At 40.1% G+C, this 22,743-nt stretch overlaps 1 protein-coding gene across 9 annotated transcripts in view, besides 1 other annotated feature; it reads left to right on the top strand.

Moving 5' to 3' along the window:
• CYP24A1 (cytochrome P450 family 24 subfamily A member 1) overlaps positions 1-17,567 on the top strand; it is a 30,449-nt gene extending 12,882 nt beyond the window's left edge. Inside the window, exons 8-12 of one of the 9 annotated variants that reach the window (XM_017027692.3) lie at positions 1,982-2,148; positions 2,941-3,019; positions 3,520-3,717; positions 3,816-3,936; positions 14,638-17,567. In XM_017027692.3, the coding sequence (XP_016883181.1) occupies positions 1,982-2,148; positions 2,941-3,019; positions 3,520-3,717; positions 3,816-3,926 (555 nt within the window). In that variant the 3' untranslated portion in view covers positions 3,927-3,936; positions 14,638-17,567. Of the gene's footprint in view, positions 1-1,981; positions 2,149-2,940; positions 3,020-3,519; positions 3,718-3,815; positions 7,660-14,637 lie in introns of those variants that run through there. The other 8 variants (NM_000782.5, NM_001424340.1, NM_001424341.1 and 5 more) reach the window with 8 other exon arrangements.
• Positions 20,954-22,153: an enhancer, noted in NCBI's record as "CDK7 strongly-dependent group 2 enhancer chr20:52755491-52756690 (GRCh37/hg19 assembly coordinates)". NCBI's record gives its function as "activates an origin of replication core promoter dependent on BRD2, BRD4, P300/CBP, MED14 and CDK7 cofactors, with strong dependence on CDK7, by STARR-seq in HCT116 cells {active_cell/tissue: HCT116}" and the evidence as "EXISTENCE:reporter gene assay evidence [ECO:0000049][PMID:35650434]".

The following is a 22,743-nucleotide window of genomic DNA, read 5'->3' as shown; positions in this document are numbered from 1 at the left end:
GCCTGGGTAAGGCATTAGATTTGATTGCACCTGTGATGGGAAGCTCTTGCAGCATTTTAAGCAAGGGAATCACCTGATCATTTATGTTTTTAAAAGTGGGCTCTGGCTGGTGGATGGAGAATAGACTTAGCCAAGAGAGTGGGTACAGCAGGCCAGTCAATGAGCTTGGTCTGTTCCATGGAGGTCAATCAAGGATAGTTTGTGCCCCTGAGGTTTTCCAGGCCACTTCCCCTCAAATCAGCTGCTGCAGCTTAGCCCCTGCAGTTTTCCCTACAGGCTCAGACTGCCTTACGTGGCTTTGGTAAAAGCTACAGTCATCTGCCCTTTGGAAACTCTATTTGGTACTTGCGGTGAGGGACTCACTGATATGGTTAAATCTGTTTCTTTTTTGGTCCTGGCTATTCTGAAAGTCACATTTGGAAAATCAGAACCATTTGAAAGTGTATCTAATTTGATGGCTACACCCTCTTCCTGTTTTGTAAATTAGACTCTTATAATAATGGCATCTACAGTTTATTTGCAGCCGAGGCTGCCAGTCCTCTGACATGAAGAAGACTGCCTTGGAGGCATCTTCTTCCAAAAATAATAAAATAACCATCATCTCTGAATGGTCTTGCACTTGGTGCTCATTTGTGTGAGTGGCACATGGCACTTAGCAACAGCGTCTTCATGTCTGCGGAGGTGGACACAATGATCATTTTCAGGAAATATTTGGCTTAAATTAGCAAAGTACGGCCTAAAAAATAAATACATATGACTACTAGTGGTGAATATTATGTAGCTTAAAGCTACATTGGCTGTTTCCACCAATATTTTTTCTCTAGTCATTGCCTGTGCAGAGGAAATAAAAGATGCCACTTAAAAGGGTGTGGGCCTTTGTCAGAAACTGTAGCTGGAGTACTCAGCTCAATGTTTGAATTTCTTATTTTTGGTGTTGGCACCCTCGTATGAGGGCTGTTTACATGTGGTTGTAACCCTCAGTGTAGGTAGTGCCTGTTTATTTTTGTGGTGACTTTTTAGGGTGTGGCCAAAGGAACTTTTAAATTTCAGAAATGCCATTTATTGTCCATTTCCACTATAACATTCTCTTAAAGCCTCTCATTAGCAACACCCTGAGGATCACCATCCCTCTCTGTTTACTCCATTTTTATATGAATGTTTTTTATATCAAGCAACTTTTAATTAAATGTTTATTTTGAGATCATTGTAGATTCACATTCAGTTCTAAGAAAAAATAGAAAGGGATCCCTTGCATCCGTTACCCAGTTTTCCACTAATAGTAATGTCCTGTCTAACGAGAAAACGTTGTCACAATCTGAAAATTGGCATTGATTTAACCCACTAATATTCTCATTTCACCAATTTTACATGTACTCATTTGTGTTCGAACAATTATTGCGTCAAACTGTATTTTAGGTCAGGCACAGTTGGCTCATGCCTGTAATCCCAGCACTTTTGGAGGCAGGCAGATCACCTGAGGTCAAGAGTCTAAGACCAGCCTAGCCAACATGGTGAAACCCCATCTCTACTAAAAATACAAAAATTAGCCAGGCATGGTGGTGGATGCCTGTAGTCCCAGCTACTCAGGAGGCTGAGGCAGGAGAATCGCTTGAACCCAGGAGGTGGAGGTTGCAGTGAGCCGAGATAGTGCCACTGCACTCCAGTCTGGGTGACAGAGTGAGACTCCATCTCAAAAAAAAAAAAAAACTGTATTTAAATGTTCTAAAGCAGCTGATTAAAGGATTATACTTTGATTCCCTCAGTAAATAATTTAAAATATATCCTTAATTGATATGTTTTATGAAATAAGTCTGCTTTTTTATATATTGGATTTGTCTAAAGGCGTAGCTATAAGGACGCGTGAAAGAGCTTCACTGATACATTTGCAGAATAAGGTGGTGGGCATCACCTTTTTTTCAGCTAATAGTGGTTTAATGCAGTTATTTACAAAAACTCAAGTTTATGTCCATTTGGCTTGCAGACAGCAAACAGTCTAATGTGGATTCTCTACAATTTATCCCGTAATCCCCAAGTGCAACAAAAGCTTCTTAAGGAAATTCAAAGTGTATTACCTGAGAATCAGGTGCCACGGGCAGAAGATTTGAGGAATATGCCGTATTTAAAAGCCTGTCTGAAAGAATCTATGAGGTAAGAGCCTATCTCTGAGCCAATATAAATGTGTTAGAACACTGTTCTCGTAAACACAAAACAAGTGGTCCCCTACTCATGGGCGGCTTCCCCTAGCTAATTAGAAACAATTATCACACTGCAAAAAAATCTTTGGAGCCATATTTCTTTTCTGGCACTCATTTCCTAAATCATTTGGGCAAATTCTATTAAATCTTGGAAAGCCAGTGCCCTCCCCTTTAATTCAATAATCTTGCTACTCTAATGAACGCTGTAAGCACTAATTAAGATAGGGGCATGATTGAAGGTTATGAGATGGAGGCTCACAAAAGAGCTATATTATTATATAATAGGACACAGAGAAAGCTTTGCTTTTGAGCCTCTGGTATAAAACATTTTTTGGAAATTCTTTTTACATCCTTTTGGGAAAACAAAACTCACAACATTTTAGGATTAGAAGGATACTGTCAACTTTGTGAAGAGTAGATTGGAGAAACATAGAACAAACATCACGCTTCAAGGGCTAGCACGGAAACATACACATTTTAGTCTGGAATGAAGGGGGAAAACCAACGTTAACAGTTTACTAAACAGCCTTGCACTGGGGTTTTAACTAACTCAAGAAGATGAGAGGAACAAGAGATACAATTATTGAGAAGAAAAAAACAACTTCTTTAGGAAGATCTGTGATCATGCTGCCTCTTTGAGTATGCACTTGGGCAGCATTTATTTAATCCAATCTGCATTCCCATTGACACTTCAGAGAGAACTTAGACTGTGCTCACCTTTACATCTTTGATTTTATCTTTTCAGGCTTACGCCGAGTGTACCATTTACAACTCGGACTCTTGACAAGGCAACAGTTCTGGGTGAATATGCTTTACCCAAAGGAGTAAGTAGAATTTGTATATTCTATACCTTACAAAACCTTGGAAGATACACTTTGCAAATATTCACCAGATCTCCCTAGACTTTGTACTGGAAAATATTCATTTTGGGAATGCAGAGATGGTAGAGAATAGTTGACATGTTGCATAGTATAGAATTAGAATTCACGGCTATGGAGACAGAGACCTGCATTCAGTTTCATCTTTTATCTGTGTTGTCTTGAGTGAGTTACATAATCTCTGTGAGCCTCAACTTCGTCTGTAAAAGGGGTTTAATAACAGAATCTGCTGCGCAGGGTGGTTGTGAGTATGGTGCACAATTCTAAAGCCCTTTACCTATTTATTACCTGGCACATTTTAAGCACTCAGCGCATGTTGGCAACCATCATTATTATAAATTTGTGGATTTGGCTTTTGATTTGTAAGGTGACAACTTGTGTCAATTTTGCCATTCAAAGGTCTCTTCTGGTTATTTTAAATACTATGTGTCTCTGCATGTGTTTAGACAGTGCTCATGCTAAATACCCAGGTGTTGGGATCCAGTGAAGACAATTTTGAAGATTCAAGTCAGTTTAGACCTGAACGTTGGCTTCAGGAGAAGGAAAAAATTAATCCTTTTGCGCATCTTCCATTTGGCGTTGGAAAAAGAATGTGCATTGGTCGCCGATTAGCAGAGCTTCAACTGCATTTGGCTCTTTGTTGGGTAAAACCTTTACCGGTTTCTGCAATTATGTTCTGTGCTGTTTCACAAGGCAGAAGAAGAGAGGGGTAATTCTGTTTTTGTGTGCGTGTGCATTACAGATTGTCCGCAAATACGACATCCAGGCCACAGACAATGAGCCTGTTGAGATGCTACACTCAGGCACCCTGGTGCCCAGCCGGGAACTCCCCATCGCGTTTTGCCAGCGATAATACGCCTCAGGTGAGCATCTAGGCGGTTCATTATCCTCTGCAAGGTAGTGAGAATGACGAGGGATGAGCTATGCTGGGAAGTCAGCCAGACTGGGGTTTGAATCCCAGCTCACCTCTAACTTGCTGGGTGACCTTGAGCAGTTCCCTAAACTCTCTACTTCCTTTTTTTTTTTCATTTGTAAAATGATGACCCAAAGAGAGTGTATCACAAAAATTTAATATGAATACCAAGTAGTTATTCCTGAGCCTGGCATCAATTAAGTGTTCAGTAAATGCTAGCAGCTGTTCATGGTTTTTGCATGTGAATAGTAAGGGTTGGCAAACTTTTTCCGTAAAGGGCCAGTTGGCAAATATTTTAGGTTTTATGGACCATACAGTCTTTGTCACATCCTCTTAATACTACCTTGGAACATGAAAGCAGCCACAGGCAATTTGTAAACTAATGAGTGAGCTGATGTCCTAGCTTTCTATTGCTGCCACCGCAAATTACTAAAACTTAGTGAGTTACACGACACACATCTATTATCTTACAGTTCTATAGGTCAGAAGTCTGATGAGGCTCTTCCAGGCTAAAATTATCGTGTTGTCGGGGCTCTTTCTGGAGGTTCTAGAGGAGGATCTATTCTCTTGCTAGTTTGGTTGTTGGCAGAATTTAGTTCTTCATGGTTACAGGACTGAAGTCTTTATTTTTTTGCTGCTGTCAGCTGAAGGCGATCCTCAACTTTGAGAGATTTCCCATATTCCTTGGCTCATGAAACCTTCCCCAACTGAAAGCCAGTAACAATGGTTGGTTGAGTCCCTCTCACACTTTGAATCTCTCTTTCTTCTTACATTGCTTCTGTCTGACAAGATATTATCCAGGATCATGTCTCCCATCTCCAAGTTCATAAATTTAATTTCATCTGGAAAGCCCTTTTTTTCATATAAGGTAGTATATTCACGTGTTCCAGGGATTAGGGCATTCACATTTTAGGAGATCTGTTATTCTGCCTACAAAGGCTGTGTTCTGATAAATTTTATAAAAAACAAGCGGTGGACTGTATTTAGCCCTAGGGTCTAGGTTTGTGTTATGCAACCACATGTAATATAAATGTATATATTTATCAGCCTGTATTGAACACAATAGAATATTTTTTCTGCAGTATGCCATTCAATACTTTTTCTGACAATAGAGGAGTTCTCATGTTCCCTCCACAACTTTTGCCATGTCCATATACCAACCAGGTGCTATTTATTTCAATACTACTGAGTTATTTCCTTTAAATAACATAAGCCAAATAGCATATGTTGGCCTCGTCCTGAGTAATAATTTCCTTAATGAAATTAAGAGTTAGTAAGTCTAGTTATGTTCTCCTAATAGACATTACAATGAATTCAAAACTATTGAAGTGATCAAAAGTTAGCCTAAGAAGGCCCTAATTTTTTTTTTTTTTTTTTTTTTTGAGACAGTGTCTCACACTGTCACCTGGGCTGGAGTGCAATGGTGCAATCTCAGCTCACTGCAACCTCCGCCTCCTGGGTTCATGCGATTCTTCTGCCTCAGCCTCCCGAGTAGCTGGGATTACAGGCAGGTGCACACCACCACACCCAGCTAATTTTTTGTATTTTTAGTAGAGATGGGGTTTCATTATGTTGGCCAGACTGGTCTTGAACTCCTGACCTCGTGATCCACCCGCCTCGGCCTCCCAAAGTGCTGGGATTGCAAGTGTGAGCCACCACCCCTGGTGGTGGAAATAAGACATTTGTAACATATGGCTTTATAGGCTGACATGTCGGTGTTTAAACCCGGATTCTATCATTGTGTTCTTTTAGCAGCACCTTCTAGGATTTTCCTAGAAAAAAATGCTGTTTGCCAATGGCAAGTTAAGGAGCATTTGCTTATTGGTAGATTATTTAGAGAAACATGCAATTACAGATGAAATTTCTGAACAAGGCCCAAATGAATACATTATTATTCCTCCACCAAGTGTCTGATGCTATTATGAAATTTGTCAAATTCTGAGCATCCCAACCAACAGAACTGAATCAAGTAGGGTAAGGAAAGTATTCTAGCTGCATTGTGACACCCCAGCCTTCAGCAAAGAGCATGCATGTTTATCACAGTAAGCCACACCTTTTAAGTTTTAGCATTTTTTCTTTGGCTAATAATTTGTCTTGTTTAAATACACTTCTTTGATATACAATTAGGGTATACCTTTTTTTTTTTTTTTTTTTTTTTTTTTTTTTTTTTTTTTTTTTTACCAAGACCAAAACAGCCATTTCAACTTTTCTGCAAGAATGGTGCTTATGGCTTCTACGTTACCGGAAAGCAAACTTCAAACACCACACCATACAACAGCTTATAAAGAATATTTAGGCCCAGGTGTTGATACTTTTTCTTCTGCAAAATTGTTCCAGAAGCTGTACTGTCTTTCTAGATGGTGGTATTTGCTAACATCATATCCAACTCAGGGAAGCGGACTGAGTGCTGGGATCCAAGGCATTCTACAGGGTTCACTGCTGGTTTACACTTCACCTGTGTCAGCACCATCTTCAGGTGCTTAGAATGGCCTGGGAGCCTGTTCTGTCTTGCATCTTCCATGACATGAAAGGGAGGCTGGCACTTGTCAGTCAGGTAGAGGTTACAAACCGTTTCAGGCCCTGCCTACCACATTCACTGTTTGAATCTTTAATTCCCAAGAATAAGTTTACATTTCACAATGAATGACCTACAACAGCTAAATTTTCTGGGGCTGGGAGTAATACTGACAATCCATTTACTGTAGCTCTGCTTAATGTACTACTTAGGAAAATGTCCCTGCTTAATAATGTAAGCCAAGCTAAATGATGGTTAAAGTTATCAGGCCTCCCATGAAATTGCGTTCTTCCTGCATTGAAATAAAAACATTATTGGGAAACTAGAGAACACCTCTATTTTTAAAAGGACTTTAACGAAGTCAAACAACTTATAAGACTAGTGATTCACTGGGGCATTATTTTGTTAGAGGACCTTAAAATTGTTTATTTTTTAAATGTGATTCCTTTATGGCATTAGGGTAAAGATGAAGCAATAATTTTTAAATTGTGTATGTGCATATGAAGCACAGACATGCATGTGTGTGTGTGTCTGTGTGTGTGTGTCCGTGTATGTGTGTGTGGGTTCTAATGGTAATTTGCCTCAGTCATTTTTTTAATATTTGCAGTACTTGATTTAGGATCTGTGGTGCAGGGCAATGTTTCAAAGTTTAGTCACAGCTTAAAAACATTCAGTGTGACTTTAATATTATAAAATGATTTCCCATGCCATAATTTTTCTGTCTATTAAATGGGACAAGTGTAAAGCATGCAAAAGTTAGAGATCTGTTATATAACATTTGTTTTGTGATTTGAACTCCTAGGAAAAATATGATTTCATAAATGTAAAATGCACAGAAATGCATGCAATACTTATAAGACTTAAAAATTGTGTTTACAGATGGTTTATTTGTGCATATTTTTACTACTGCTTTTCCTAAATGCATACTGTATATAATTCTGTGTATTTGATAAATATTTCTTCCTACATTATATTTTTAGAATATTTCAGAAATATACATTTATGTCTTTATATTGTAATAAATATGTACATATCTAGGTATATGCTTTCTCTCTGCTGTGAAATTATTTTTAGAATTATAAATTCACGTCTTGTCAGATTTCATCTGTATACCTTCAAATTCTCTGAAAGTAAAAATAAAAGTTTTTAAATATTTGAGAGACTTCCCCTCTTTATTGCCTTTGTTACAACAAAATAAAAACAAATTCAAACTTTATTTTACTGGTAGAAAATTTTCTCATATGGCCTACAAGCCCTATATCACAAAATTTACCCTTAGATAAATCTAGACTTTAATAGCAGTTTTACTGAAAGTTTATTCTTGTAATTGCAAAATAACTTTCCATTTTGTTGCTGCTTAAATATTTCCCAAGTCCAGTTACTTCTATCTCTACCCCCTTTCCAATCACACAATCAGTCACACACTGGTTGTGTGATTGAAAGGGGGGTAGAACGGCCTGGGAGCCTGTTCTCTCTTGTATCTTTCATGACATGAAAGGGAGGCTGGCACTTGGCAGTCAGGTAGAGGTTACGAACCATTTCAGCCCCTGCCTACCACATTCACTGTTTGAATACTTAATTCCCAAGAATAAGTTTACATTTCACAATGAAAGACCTACAACAGCCAAATTTTCCGTGGCTGGGAGCAATACTGACAATCTCTTGCCTGGACCACTAATATCTCTAGTCTCTGCAGGAGCTCCCAGCTGATCTCAGTCCTCTCTTGCTTCCTTCCCCTCTGTTCTTTGCACACTTGCCTTACTGGTCTTTTCAAACCCAAACCTGATCATGCCTCATCCTGCCTCTGGGGCTTCCCATTGCTCTTACGTAAAGATCCGATTCTGCAATCCACACTTCCAGGCCCTATCAACTGAGGTCCCACTGATCCCCCAGGCCTCAGCCCACATCATCCACCCCCAGAGGCCTCTGGAACCAGGCCACAGTGGCTTCTGCCAGTTTCTGCTGTTCCTTAAATGCTAGCAAGAGGGTTCTTCCCACCGTCTCCCTCCCGGCATGCTCTTTCTCTGCCTGTTCTTCTCCTACGCACCATCTACGTCCACCCAGCTTTCATTTCCTGAAGGAAATCTTCCTTGATGACTTAGATCCCACAGGGGCTGTCCCCAGCACCGGGATTCATTAGGGTTGTGATTCCCAAGGAGACCTGTGCGACTGTGGGGACAGCAGGATGAGGAAGGGAAAGAAGCCAAACAAGCGTGTGGTTTTGAGTGAAGTTCCAGCCTCAGCCTGATCTCTGGGAGCTCTGGAGTGTACATTGCAGCTCAGTTTGTTCTCCTTGTGCCCAGGGAGCAGGGCTTCCACACTCCTTCAGTTCAGGCTGCACCTTGGGGTATAAACTCTAAGATACTTCTAGACTTTACATGTCCAGGCAAAATGGCTATAGTAGCCAGAAGGTAGTCTTTGAAGAAGGCTGCAGGTGCCAGCCATGAGGAGCAAAGCATGAAAAACCTGGGCGAAGGGCACAAAGACCGGCAAATGGGTGTGAGGAGCACAGGGTGGAGCAAGGGCCACGTCTGCTGCCCCTCACCTCCCTGAGCAGGTTGCCTGGAGCCGACACTGACATGGCCAATGTGGTCATGATGATAATAATATTTATTGACTGATCTTGCTGCCCCAGTCTCTCCTCTGTGCACTTGCTACATATGAATTCACAAATCCTTGTCACTGCCCTGTAAGTAGATGTGATCATTCTTCCCATTTCACACCTGGGGAAACTGAGGCACAGAGGTGCTCAGTAATCTCCTTAGAATCACAGTTAGTATGTAGGGAAGCCAGGATTCCAACAAAGATAGATTGGTTCCCGGACCTGTGGGATGCACGTCATGTACTGCTCATCTCTACTAAAAATACAAAAAATTAGCTGGGCGTGGTGGCACGCGCCTGTAGTCCCAGCTACTTGGGAGGAGAAAGGCAGATTCTCCTGAGGCAGGAGAATTGCTTGAACCCAGGAGGCGGAGGTTGCAGTGAGCCGAGATCATGCCACTGCACTCCAGCCTGGCGACAGAGCAGGACTCTGTCTCAAAAAATAAATTAATTAAATAAAAGTATACAAAATTGATGGGATTAGAAAAATCACTATTTGGCAACTAGATTTGAACCAAACCAAATGTATCAAATTTAATCTGTGGATTTGTAGTTTCCAGTATTTAGGGTAAAACCTCCCATGATTAGACCATTGGGTTGATGGAGTCCACTGTATTTTGTAATTGTCCTGGTGATTCTCCATCAGTCCCAAGAAGACTCTAAACAGAAAAGTAAATTAATTTCCTGTATTAACATGCTAAAAGGCACTCCCACCAGCGCCAGGACAGTTTACAAATGCCATGGCAACATCAGGAAGTTCCCCTATATGGTCTAAAAGGGGGAGGAACCCTCAGTTCCGGGAATTGCCCACCTGTTTCCTGGAAAACTCATGAATAGCCCACCCCTTGTTTAGCATATCATCAAGAAATAACTACAAGTCTACTCAATCAAGCAGCCCATGCTACTGTTCTTCCTGTGGAGTAGCTATTCTTTATTCCTTTACTTTCCTAATAAACTTGCTTTCACTTAAAAAAAAATTAATTTCCCATAAGTCTCTTAGGTTCTGCTCCACAAGTAGGTAAAACTGATCGTGTTTGTATTTTCAGATGGTGTAATTGTCTCATTTTTCCCATTTGGGCCCAGCACATTTCTTTTGACAGGTTCTGCCCCTGTAAAGGGAGTTGTTTGACTTTTGCCTCTCTGATTGAGGAAATAAGAATTTGGACACCATCCCTGCTCTATGCTCAGCACCGAGCTACGTACATTTCAAATTTTCTGATCTTCATGAGAACACTTGTGCATCGCATATGTTAACGTCCATTGAATAGCTAAGGCTCAGAGAGGTTAAGTAAACTCCCCATGTCACACAGTTGGGAAATGACTCCTCTAGAATTAAAACCTGGTGAAGTTAACAACTTTAAAATCTAGGGGTTTTTTGGCTGGGCACGGTGGCTCATGCCTGTAATTCCAGCACTTTGGGAGGCCGAGGCCGATGGATCACCTGAGGTCAGGGGTTCGAGACCAGCCTGGCCAACATGGCAAAACCCCATCTGTACTAAAAATTAGCTGGGCATGGTGGCAGGTGCTTATAATCCCAGCTACTTGGGAGGCTGAGGCAGGAGAATTGCTTGAACCTGGGGGGCGGAGGTTACAGAGAGCCGAGATCATGCCACTTCACTTCAGCCTGGGCAAAAAAGTGAAATTCAATATCAAAAAATAAAATAAAATCTAGGATTTTTCCTGCTATATCAGCATGAAGTTTAAGGGGTATGGAACTCACAGGTGTTTCATTAGCGAGAAAGCGCACTGGGGATTTAGGTTTGAAAGTCAACCAGAGTAAAAATTTCTTAGAGTTACGGTAAACTTTACATCCCTTCAATTATCTGTAAAGTATACCGTAAACACATAGTTTCATCCCTCATTAACCCATTTATGCCAGAGGTTGCAAATTTTTTTGTGAAAAATCAGACCTTAGCGATGACCTTAAGCAGTGGGATTTCAATAACTCCCAGAAGCTTAGCGTTCCACTAATGGAACACTAGGCATAAATGGGTTTTAATCCACAGAGGATTCCTTCCGGTGTTGGAAAAGCTTTCTGCTCTAGTGGGTGAAAACAACCTAAAGTAGTTGGCTTATGTCTAGGGGCCATGTCACATGAAAAATGCACTTCCTCAGATGCTAGAACCACACCAAGGGCATCAGGAGCTCACATTTTGAGATGTGCATGAGAAATAAGGCAAGAGGTGGATCTCGTTTCTCATCTTGCTGTTCTCATTGAGTGAGGGTGTTGGAATCACCTGGGCTACATCCTTCCATAGTCATCTTTCCACTCCAAGCATGGATGGTTGGATGTGCCTGGGTTAAGTGTGCATATAATGCAACCTCACTCCATCCCCTGTGTAAGTAATTTCCCCATAAATAATTCCTACTCTCCGGGGGAGCAGTACCTGGTCTGTAGAATCCCTGCTACAAACGTTGAGGAATTCCTTTGATCTCTCCATTTCCTCCTTCATTTTTTTTTCCTTTCTCTCTTTTTATTTTTCCCTTCCTCTCTCTCAAAAAAATTATTTGGACATCACAAAAGCCAACTGGACTGAATTCCATATATATTATTGTGTACTGGTTTCCCACAAATATCCCTGGAAATTTTGTTAAAGCTAAAATATGGAGTCAGCCTTGAGGGAGACAGAATAGGGACCAGAAAGGTGTCATAATAAGCTACGAGCACTGAGCAGCGTGTGTTACTGATGACAATCACAATTGCCCTGAGTCACTAAGCATCTACCCTGTGACAGGCACTGTATGACCTGGTAATCTAGAAGACCTTGGAGAGGAGGATTTACAACTTGGCACGAGTCCTGGGAAATTTGCCTAGCTTTATTGGTTACCATAAATGGTGGTTGTAAACATTACAACTAGGACAACCAGGTAAAAGGAAATATTTAATGAGTGCCTATGAAGATCTGTAAGCCAAGCATCATGGGTACAGGGGCAAACCAAAATAAACATGTCCCTGCTCTTACGCCATCTGTATCCTACTACGGAGGATGGGGAAGAACAAGGGGAGGAAATGTCAATCAAATAATCACAGAAATGCATATAAACTTGCTATTGTGGTGAGCTATGTAGGGAGTTTCACCATGTTGGCCAGGATGGTCTCGATCTCTCGACCTTGTGATCTGCCCACATCGGCCTCCCAAAGTGCTGAGATTACAGTCGTGCTGTCAGGAAGAATTAATTATTTATAATTTATGTCTATTTATGTCAGTGCGAGCTTGCAGATTCTTATGTTTTTGAATGGGTTATAATTTTTACACTGTCATTATTCATTTTGATATTCAGATTGCCCCAGATTTGATTAATGGGAGCCTCTTTAAATAGGTTCCTGTGCATTGTTGCTGGTTTTTTGTTTGTTTGTTTGTTTTGACATGTTGTTACCATTTTTGAGCACTTCCTGCTTTCTGGAACAATAAAATATTCCAGGCTGATCTTGTACTTTACCTGCCCCACCGTGGAATCATCTGTTTCTTCAAGAAGTCCTAATTTGTTTCAGTAGAAAAGAACATTTAGAAATCGAGATTTTGGCTCCTGGTGCTTGTTGCTACTGGGATGTTACTGCTTCTAGGCAAGCTCAGCATTCAGAGTTAAGACGTGTGTGTGTGTGTGTGTGTGTGTGTGTGTGTGTGTGTGTGTCTGTGTGTCTGTGTATGTAGAAAGAGAGAAAAAGAAGGACAAAACCAAAGTAGTAAAATGCAAATGCTTGAAGAATCTGGGTGAATGGTATATGGGAATTCTTTGTACTGTTCATGTAACTTTTCTGAAATTATGTCAAAATAATTTAAAAGAAAAATAGGCCTCCATCTCAAAAAAAAAAAGAAAAGAAAAGAAAAATAGGCAGTGTATCGAGGTGGTTAAGAACTGGGTGCAGGCCGGGCACAGTGGCTCATGCCTGAAATCCCAGCAATTTGGGAGGCCAAAGCAGGTGGATCACCTGAGGTCGAGAGTTCGGGACCAGCCTGGCCAACATGGTGAAACCCTGTCTCTACTAAAAATACAAAAAAATTAGCTGGACATGGTGGTGTGTGCCTGTAATCCCAGCTACTCGGGAGGCTGAGGCAGGAGAATTGCTTGAACCCAGGAGTCAGAGGTTGCAGTGAGCCAAGATCCCTCCATTGCACTCCAGCCTGGCAACAAGAGTAAAACTCTGTCTCAAGAAAAAAAAAAGAACTGAGTGCTGGAAGCAGATAGATTGGGTTTAAATCCCAGCTCCTCTGCTGTGTGGCATTGGGGAAGTGATTCTGACCTCTCTGTGCTTGAGTTTTCTCATTTATGAAACAGAAATAATGATCAAAACATATTTCATACAGTTGTTGAGAGAATCAATGGAAACAATGCACTAAAACTCTTAGAAGCTGTCTGGTACATGATGAATTCTCAGTAAATAGCAGGTATTTAAAGATTTACTAACATTTAACAGTTGTGGGATGAGATGCACCATCTCATATTTCTGGCTTCTGTGAAAAAACAGAGGTCCTGGTCTGTGTGGCCCCTGAGCCCACAAAGCCATCAGCTGGAGCTAATCCTTTCTGGGGCAGGGCCTGAGCTTCGGTCCCCAACATTGAGTCCTGACTCAGCCTCTACTCTTGATAGCACCTGGCACGCCTCATTTTCAACGTCTATTTTGCACGTTCTAGAAATCTATGAATTTTTTTCCTTTGGTTTTTAGGGCATCTCATTGCATTTCTCTAAAAAGCTGAAATGCACAAATATCTGATTAGGGCCACTAATCTATTTTGAGTATTTTAGTCCTTTTCTATAACCTGTCCCAACAATTTCTCCCATGGCCTTGCCAAATCTCTGGGAATCTTCTCATTTTTCAATTAGGCTTAGAGAAGTTAAGTATCTTGCTCAGGGAAATGCAGCAAGCAGGCTCGGACTGAAACCCCAGTCTGTCTGACTTCATAGTTCTTGCTCATTTCCCTGCACTTCTTGGTGCTCAAAGAACCTAAATGGGTCAGTCAATGAATCTATCAGCAAGTATTCAGGAGAAAGCTGTTGGTTGAAAGCCAAGGTGCCATTTTATGATTTGGCCTAATTTGTTGAGCTTTTCCTAATCTCCTGGGTTGGAAGTTGACCTAATAAGTGATTAATATCACTTATGCTTCTCCATGATTGTTTTGTCCTCTAGAACCTCCTTTATCAGCAATAAAATATTTGCAGAACCCTTAGTCATCAGGATGCCTTGCACCTGAGCTTCTCAAGTAGCATCAACTCCCAAGTACCAATGCTTTAGAATTGATTAGAAGATTTGCACAGAGGAAACTTTCTCCTCCCGAATCTGTTGTGCTTTCATAAAACTGGGTGTGCAATATATTTTGCACACATTGAGCAGAAAGGTAAAGTGATGAGGATGTCCCATATTGTGGGAGAAAAGAGATCAGGAAGACAAAATAAATATGAAGTTGAGAGTTGATGACATACTTGAAAAAGAAATGCTTTGCTTTTTCATCTGCATTTGTTTTCTTTTTAATAGATCAATTTTCCCCCTTCATTTTATGTATTGTTAATGCTTTTTTTCTGTTATGATTGGCCCAGATCTCTCTACACCAGGTGAAATCTACTGGAGACCGGTAGCGGTCCTCTGGATTGTGCCAACACCAATTGATTGGTGGCAGTTGCCTGAAACACAGTATCAAGAAACATTCTGAAGTTGAGTCCAAGCATGCCAGGAAAGAAGATCATGATCAATAGGCCAAGGGTGCCGGAAAAGGGATGTTCAGCCTGTGTTTCATCCGATATACAATATATTCTGGAGACCAAACTTGTAGTAGGATGGTGCAAAAGTAATGGCAAAAACCACAATCGCTTTTGCACCAACCTAATAGATCTGTAATAAGAATAACTTACATTGATTAAGGGCTGACTGTGTGATTGGCATTATATTAAGTGTATTACATTGATTTTTTTCAGCATTTTATTAAGGATGCTTATGTATAATCACAAGTTATACACAGGATGAATTTTCAAGGTACACAGACAAGTAATTTTTATTGCTGGTAATATGTATGTTTGCAATTATCTTCTGCTAATACCAGTTATTTCTAAAGTTCTGGTGCTACTACAAAATTTACTTGTAAATCAATTTGTTCAAGTTTTAAAAGATGATCCCTAAGTAAAATAATACGTGAATGATATTTTATGAGGCAAACAAAGCTTTGTGTAAATTCCTCCCTTTAAGTGTGGCGGAGCCTGTGGCTTGATTCTAACCAATAGAATATGTCGAAGGTGATGAGATGTCACTTGGTGATTACGTGAGAAAGGATTGTAATAGTCATCTGTTTTGATGAAGCAGGCAATTGTGTTGGGGAGGCCCTCGTGGCAAGAAACAGAGGGCAGCCCCCTTTTTTTTTTTTTTTTTTTTTTGAGACAGAGTCTGGCTCTATTAGCCAGGCTGGAGTGCAGTGGCACGATCTTGGCTCACTGCAACCTCCGCCTCCCGGGTACAAGAGATTCTCCTGCCTCAGCCTCCCAAGTAGCTGGGATTACAGGTGCTTGCCACCACACCCAGCTAATTTTTGTATTTTTAATAGAGATGGGGTTTCGCTATGTTACCCAGGCTGGTCTCCAACTCCTGACCTCAAATGATCTGCCCGCCTTATAGAGAAACAACGTAGCTGGATCAGAAATATAGAAACAGAACAAAAGAACAAAACAAGTATGCTTCCACTGTATTCTTAATAAGATTTCCAACACTAATTCCATCTTTTTTTTTTTTTTAACTTAGAGCTTCCGGAAAAATAAGCTGAGTCTGACTTTGGACAAACATTAAGTCAATTTGCCAAATCTTTCCAAGGTTCACTAGCGAGTGACCTGGAAAAAAATTCATATTAAGACTTTAAGAGTGTAGAAATGCCGGAAGAGCTTAAAATAGTTAACTTATCAACTAACCTAGAATGAATTTAGGATAAGCTATTCTAGCATACTTTTTGCTGGAAACAGAAAAAACAAAAAATTAGAAAACAACTTCGTTTGAAGACACAACAATTCTCAACTGTAAGGGTCAATATCAAACTTCTTAGGTAATAAATGATTATGGCAGTTATTCATATTTTGGCAGGTCCAATGAAATAACATTTTATCTCCAAATTTCTGAATGACTTTCATCAAGAGATCTTGGAATTGTTACAATGATCTTCTAAACTGAACTGGGTAATTTGCCTTCTTTTCCTATTTTCAAAAGTTTTTAGATTATCAGTACTGTAAAATTAGTTGAAAAACTCACCTATAAAAGTATACCAGTATGTACAGGTCTGGCTACATAATTTGCAGGGCCAAGCACAAAATTAAAAGGAGGGCTTCTTATTAATATATACTATAATTAATTCTATAATATATATTAATATATTAGTTAATAATATGTTACTATATTTTCATAATATAATTAACAGTTGATAATGTAACATATATTATAATTTATATATGGTAATATAACAAACTAATAATTTTAAGGCCAGGTGTGGTGGCTCACACTTGTAATCTCAGCACTTTGGGAGGCTGAGGCTGGAGGATCACCTTAGCCCAGGAATTCCAGACCACCCTGGGCAACATGGCAAGACTTCATCTCTACAAAAACTTCAAAAAAAAAATTAGCCAAGTGTGGTGGTGCACACCTGTGGTCGCAACTACTAGGGAGACTGAGGTAGGAGGATCACTTGAGCCCAGGAGTTTGAGGCTACAGTGAGCTGTGACACTTGAGCCCAGGAGTTTGAGGCTACAGTGAGCTGTGATCATGTCACCGGACTCTAGCCTGTGGGAAGAGTGAGACCTTGTCTAAAAAAAAAAAAAAGAAAGAAAGAGAAAAAGAATTTTAAGATAGTAGCAGCAAAGAATTAAACCCAAAGCCAGCAAAGAATTAAACCCTGAGCAAGGTACTTCTAAGCATGGGGCCGCCATGTGACTACCCAGCTCAGGTCCCCACCGATGGAGCCAGCGCTGGCACAGGCCTGCAGATGTTTGCCACCACTTCAGTTCCTTCATGGTTACTGGTTTATTTAGATTTTCTTCTACTTTCTGTGTCAGTGTAAGTAATTTACATTTTTTTCTAGAAAATTCTCAATCTCACTTAGACTTATAAACCTATTGGCACATAGTTGCTAACTGTATTCACTTACGATTTTTTAAAACATCTATAATTGTAGAAGTTTTTGCTTTATTCTTAGGATTTTTTTTTTGCTGTCTGTATCTCAACAAAAGCCTGTTTTTAGTTTTTTCAAAGAACAAAGGTTTGGCTTTTCTTTTTCCATATCATTAGTTGATGCTTTGATTTCTATTTTTTTTTACTTCTATTTTCTTTTTGTTTATCCTTCTTTTTAATCCTGGATCTCTATCACCTTAGAATTAAAAGTAGGGCTTGGGTGATGGGTACACCAAAATCACCATTAAAGAACTTACTCATGTAACCAAATACCACCTGTTCCCCAAAAACCTATGGAAATAAAAAATAATAAATTAAAATATAAATAGGATTTGGAACATTTCTCTTTATATATTACTTGTTTAAAAGACATATTTTTAGTTCCAAAATTATGGATGCAAATCATATGAATTAGGAAGGATCAAGAGCCTGGCAATGAGAGAAGACATTATCAGTTCCAGCCACAACTGTTCATGATAAGCTGTCTGCAACATGTTGCCACAGCTTCCAAATTCATACAGACCCATTCCAGGGGATAAGTGCCATTAACCTCACAATTGCTTGCACACATGAATATTGCTTAAGGGCAAAAATTTCACTGTAAATATAAACGAAAAATAAATTTAAGAAAATAATCATCTTAAAAAGCGTGATGTGAATTATTGAATTCACAGCTGTGAGTAGTGAACTGCCAATAAAACTTCATTTACAAAAACAGGTGGTTAGCCATCATTTGCCAATTGGATTTTTAAAATATTATATAAAAATATTTACCCTAACAGTACTGAGATTTTTGGCACTCTGCTAAATTTTGCCCCCAGAATGAGTGCCTCACTGGCTCTGGTGAGACAGCTGCACAGGCAGCTGGGAGATCGCTGAGTTCCACCAAACGCCACCTTGCAACTTAAATAATTCTAATCCCAACCTCAGCAAAATGCCAGAAGATCACAAATCATGGGCTTTGAGACTCATTCCCAAACCTTTAAATGGCAAAGATGTGAAACAGAAAAACAGAGTGATTTGAGTTGAAAAAAAAAAAACTCACTCACTCATGTAATCATAACAACTATTTCTTCAATGAACATTTGTAGAGCGTTTACCATCAGCCACTCATTGTGCTAAGCACATTACATTGTTATCTCTTGTAATTTCCATAGCAACCGTATCAAACAGGTGCTCCTGTTGTTCCCATATTTTAAAAATCAATGCTTAGAGATGTTACTTGGCTAGAAAGTGGCAGATTTGGGCTTCAAAGTCAAGGCTTCCTTAGGCTATACTCTCAACAGGTACTCCATCAAATGGCTTGTGACTCTATTAACTAAGCAAGATGCTTTATTCTGCAAGTCTTCATTTCTCCACAAAATCAAAAAGCATATCCTTCACCATTCTTCTTGTACTCACCGGAATACAGGAAAATAAAATGAAGCCATTCGGTGTAGATACAACGTAAGGTACTTATATTAGTTTTCTGCTGCTACGTAAGAAATTACTAACGACTTTATGACTTAGAAGAATGTATCACATACAACAGGGGTCACCAACCCCCAGGGCACAGACCAGTACCAGTCTGTGGCCTGTAAGGAACCGGCCACATGGCAGGAGATGAGCTGCAGGCAAGCGAGCATCACCACCTGAGTGCCGCCTCCTGTCAGATCGGGGCAGCATTAGATTCTCATGGGAGTGTGGACCCTATTGTGAACTCCACATGTGAGGGATCTCGGTTGTTGCTCCTCATGAGAACCTAACTAATGCCTGATGATCTGAAGTGAACAGTTTCATTCTAAAACCATCCCCCACCACCCCACCATTTGTGGAAAAATTGTCTTCTATGAAACGAGTCCCTGGTGCCAAAAAGGTTGGGGACCACTGGTCTACAACTTCTGAGGGCCAGGAATTTGGGTGTGGCTTAGCTGGCTAGTTCTGGCTGGGAATCTCTCATGAGGTTGCCATCTAGGTGTCTGCGTGAGCCGCTTTCATCTGAAAGCTCAACCGAGGCTGGAAAATGCCCTTGCAAGATGCCTCACTTAGGTGACAGACAAGTTGCTGACTGCTGTTCAGGGAGCCTTAGTTCCTCACCACATGGACCTCTCCATAGGGCTGCTGGAGCTTACTCACAACACAGCTGACTTCCCCAGTGAGAGAGATGAAAGAAAGAGAAGCATTCCCTCCAGATCAGGGTGTCTTAACCTCAGCACTAGTGGCATTTAGGGCCAGATAATTTTTCATCGTAGGAAAGCTGTCCTGTGCACTGTAGAATATTTCACAGCATCCCTGGCCTCTACCTACTAGATTCCAATAGCACCCTCTTTCAGATGTGACTACCGAAGATGACACCAAACATTGTCAGATGTCCCCTGGGGGATGATATCACCCTCAGTTGGAAACTACTATTCTAGATTCCTCTTTCACTAAAATTTTTCTCAGCTGGGCTATGTTAAAGTATCCTGCAAACTCCACTTATTGAAATGGGAATTTTAAAAGCATGTATTCATTCCACAAACATGTATTGTCTCTTTGGAGACCTATATACACAACGTAAAAATTGCCTACCCTGACAGTCATGAACTTTCCAAGATATGTAGGAATGGGTTACTAATTGTTGGAGATTAAAATCTGCACTATGGATTAGCAATGGAACAAAGAATTGGCTTGCTGGGCCAGATTATGAACGACGGGAGCAATTGGGTTCATTGTAACAAAAGGGTACAGTTTATAGAATGCATTCCATTTACCCAATTCAGAAGGAATTTTACCTGTCTTTGAAGCAAAGCTTAAGGAATGTATAAATTTCCATTCCAGTGTTGAAATTGTTTTGGGGATCGACTCATTACTAAAATATTTGCCTCGCAATTCAGACAGTTCCCATGGATTTTGTATCACCAGTCAGAAAGTCAACTGAGAAAAATGACTTGTGGTCATGATATTACTGTTCAAACCATGTTGTTGGTAATTCAGTTTTAATAATGGCTTTGGGAAACATGTTTGCCTCAACAAGTTAATGTATTTTTATTTATTATTAAATAACAAGGAATCTGTTGATTAATGGGATGTGCGTGTTAGGGGAGGAAAAAACAGGATCTTTCCTCTGCCCACCACTAAAGCAATTCATTTGAATACATTGATGGAAACCGTTCAAATTTCTAGTAGTTTCTGACAACTTAGAGAAAGGTAAAGTGCCAAGCTGAGTAATAAGGGCTACACACTCAGCATAGATGTTGACATAAATTTTGAACACTGTGAGAGCTGGTGCTCACATAGTCTTGTTCTCAGCTCCTTTGCTAGAAGCTAGCCTAATGCCCGGCACATAGTAGATGCTCAAAAATCTCAGCTGAATAATGAATGTTCTTTAAAAGTTCATTCATCTCATTTCCTAGAAGACTCACAAGAAATGAAATTCTGGAATAGATTTATACCTGTTTCTTACCCTCCACCATGTTCCAAATAATCTCTTCACACCTTTTGCTATAAATACCTGAATCATCAGTTCATTCATTGACTGTGAGAATTGATTAGATTTTGCGCTGTGATTGAACTTCGATGCCTCTGCCGAGCTGGCCCAGTGCTTGACTCACACGGCTCATGTAAGGATGAACGGTGAGCCTGCCAAATTCTACCAAGCTCAAGGGGAATTTTTTATTACAGGTCGAAGCATCTGGCATCCTAGTTATGCATGACCAGGGCTCAACAAGACCACCAAGTTCACTGTTCCTCCAACCTAAGCCAATTGTATGCTTGACCTCTCAGGAGTGTTAAGAGTGTCACCAAACTTTATGAAACACTTCAAGGAGTAGCTGTGCTCTGTATTACTAATAAAAGGAGTAATAGCAAAGGGAGTCATTGATAATATATACTGAGAATTGTTATGCTACCTATTATGGCTAAGTTTTTTATAAGCAGCATCTCACTTTAATCTTCACATTAATCAAAGCTGTGAGGTATGATTATCTCCATTTTTGAGATGAGGAGACAGAGGCTTAGAGAGGTTAAGAAACGTCTCACAGGTCACAGAGGCAATAAGAGGCAGACCTGGTCTTTGAACCCAATATTCTTTTTGACCCTGGAGCACGGGCTTACAACTATGATGATTTATGTCCCTAAATGAGTATCTGAAAACAAACAAACAAACATCAAAGTAGCAAACATTAGGTAAGTTTGAGTTCAAAGGTATGGAAAAACAAGCTGTCTTGATTTACTGATACAAGCAATCCTCACTTTAAATGGTACTGCATTAACGAAAACCCCCGCATACAGGAACCGCTCTCTCACTTAGCACAGCTCCATGGCGCTGTGGTCTCAATGTTGGTTTCCCCCAAAATTCATATGTTGGAGCCTAATACCCAATGTGACAGTGTTAATAGATGGGACTTTTGGGAAGTGATTCAGTCATGAGTCATAACCCCTCATGAATGGGATTAGTGCCCTTATGGAAGGAAGCCCAAGGGGGCTCCCTTGCCCCCGTCACTATGTGAGGGCATCTTTGAAGCAGGGAACAAGCTCTCAGCGGACACTGGATTTGTTGGTGCCTTGATCTTGGACTCCCCAGACTCCTAAGCTATAAGCAATAAATCTTGGTTATATACAAATGACCTAATCTAAGGCGTTTTGTTACAGCAGCCCAGATGAACTAAGACACATGATGAAGCGGTCAGGCGTCAGTCACCACACAACTGTGCACAGTGCGTTCCAGTCTGCATGGATTTCAGGTATGCACAAAGCAAGAACGAAGTATACGAAACGGAAGAAAACCAGGGTGCAGTTCACCCAGGGGCATCTTCATCATCTCACCACGGAGTGGAAGGCATGGTATAACCAGCTAACAAAAAGTTCTCACATCTGAGATGGGTTGGCTGTCTGGAAGCTGATTCTGGTTTTGATTAGATTTCTCCTTTTAACTTCCATTATTTGCAGAAAATACCCTAAAAATAATTGTACCCAAGCATATGTCTACCTGCAACCGACTTTGTGATTCATCCCATTATATTTTGTATGTGGTTCTTATGTTTCCAGAGAGCCACAGTACATCACTGCATAATAATTGACTATTATTTTGAAGATGCACACACACATACACATACATACCCACTCAATTTTACGTATTCACTTGCTGACTTATTTTTCATAGAAGTTTGATTTTCCCTACTCTAATATTTGTTTTGTAACTTCGATACCATGCACTTCCTCCCACAGTTAGCTACTAGGAATATAAGGACTAGCAGCTACCAGATTATTATAATAGTCACCTAAGTCAGAGGTCAAAAAACTACCAGCTAAATTTGTACTGCACCCATATTTGTTTTGACTTTCATAGTATTCCCTTTACACAAAGCATGTGTCTCCAGTTTGTCACAGGCCCCTAAACTGTAGACATTTTTTTTTACCCTGAGCCTACTTGATTGTGTTTCTTGCCCACATCTGTAGATATTTGATTTTGCAAACAAGGCTTAATCAAGCATTATTAAGAAGTAAGTTTGTTGAACAAATCCCAAAATATTAACCAAAGAAAAACA

Source organism: Homo sapiens, chromosome 20 (assembly GCF_000001405.40).
Source record: "Homo sapiens chromosome 20, GRCh38.p14 Primary Assembly".
In the NCBI taxonomy this organism is placed as follows: Eukaryota; Metazoa; Chordata; class Mammalia; order Primates; family Hominidae; genus Homo; species Homo sapiens.
This window is presented reverse-complemented; position numbering and strand designations above follow the sequence as displayed.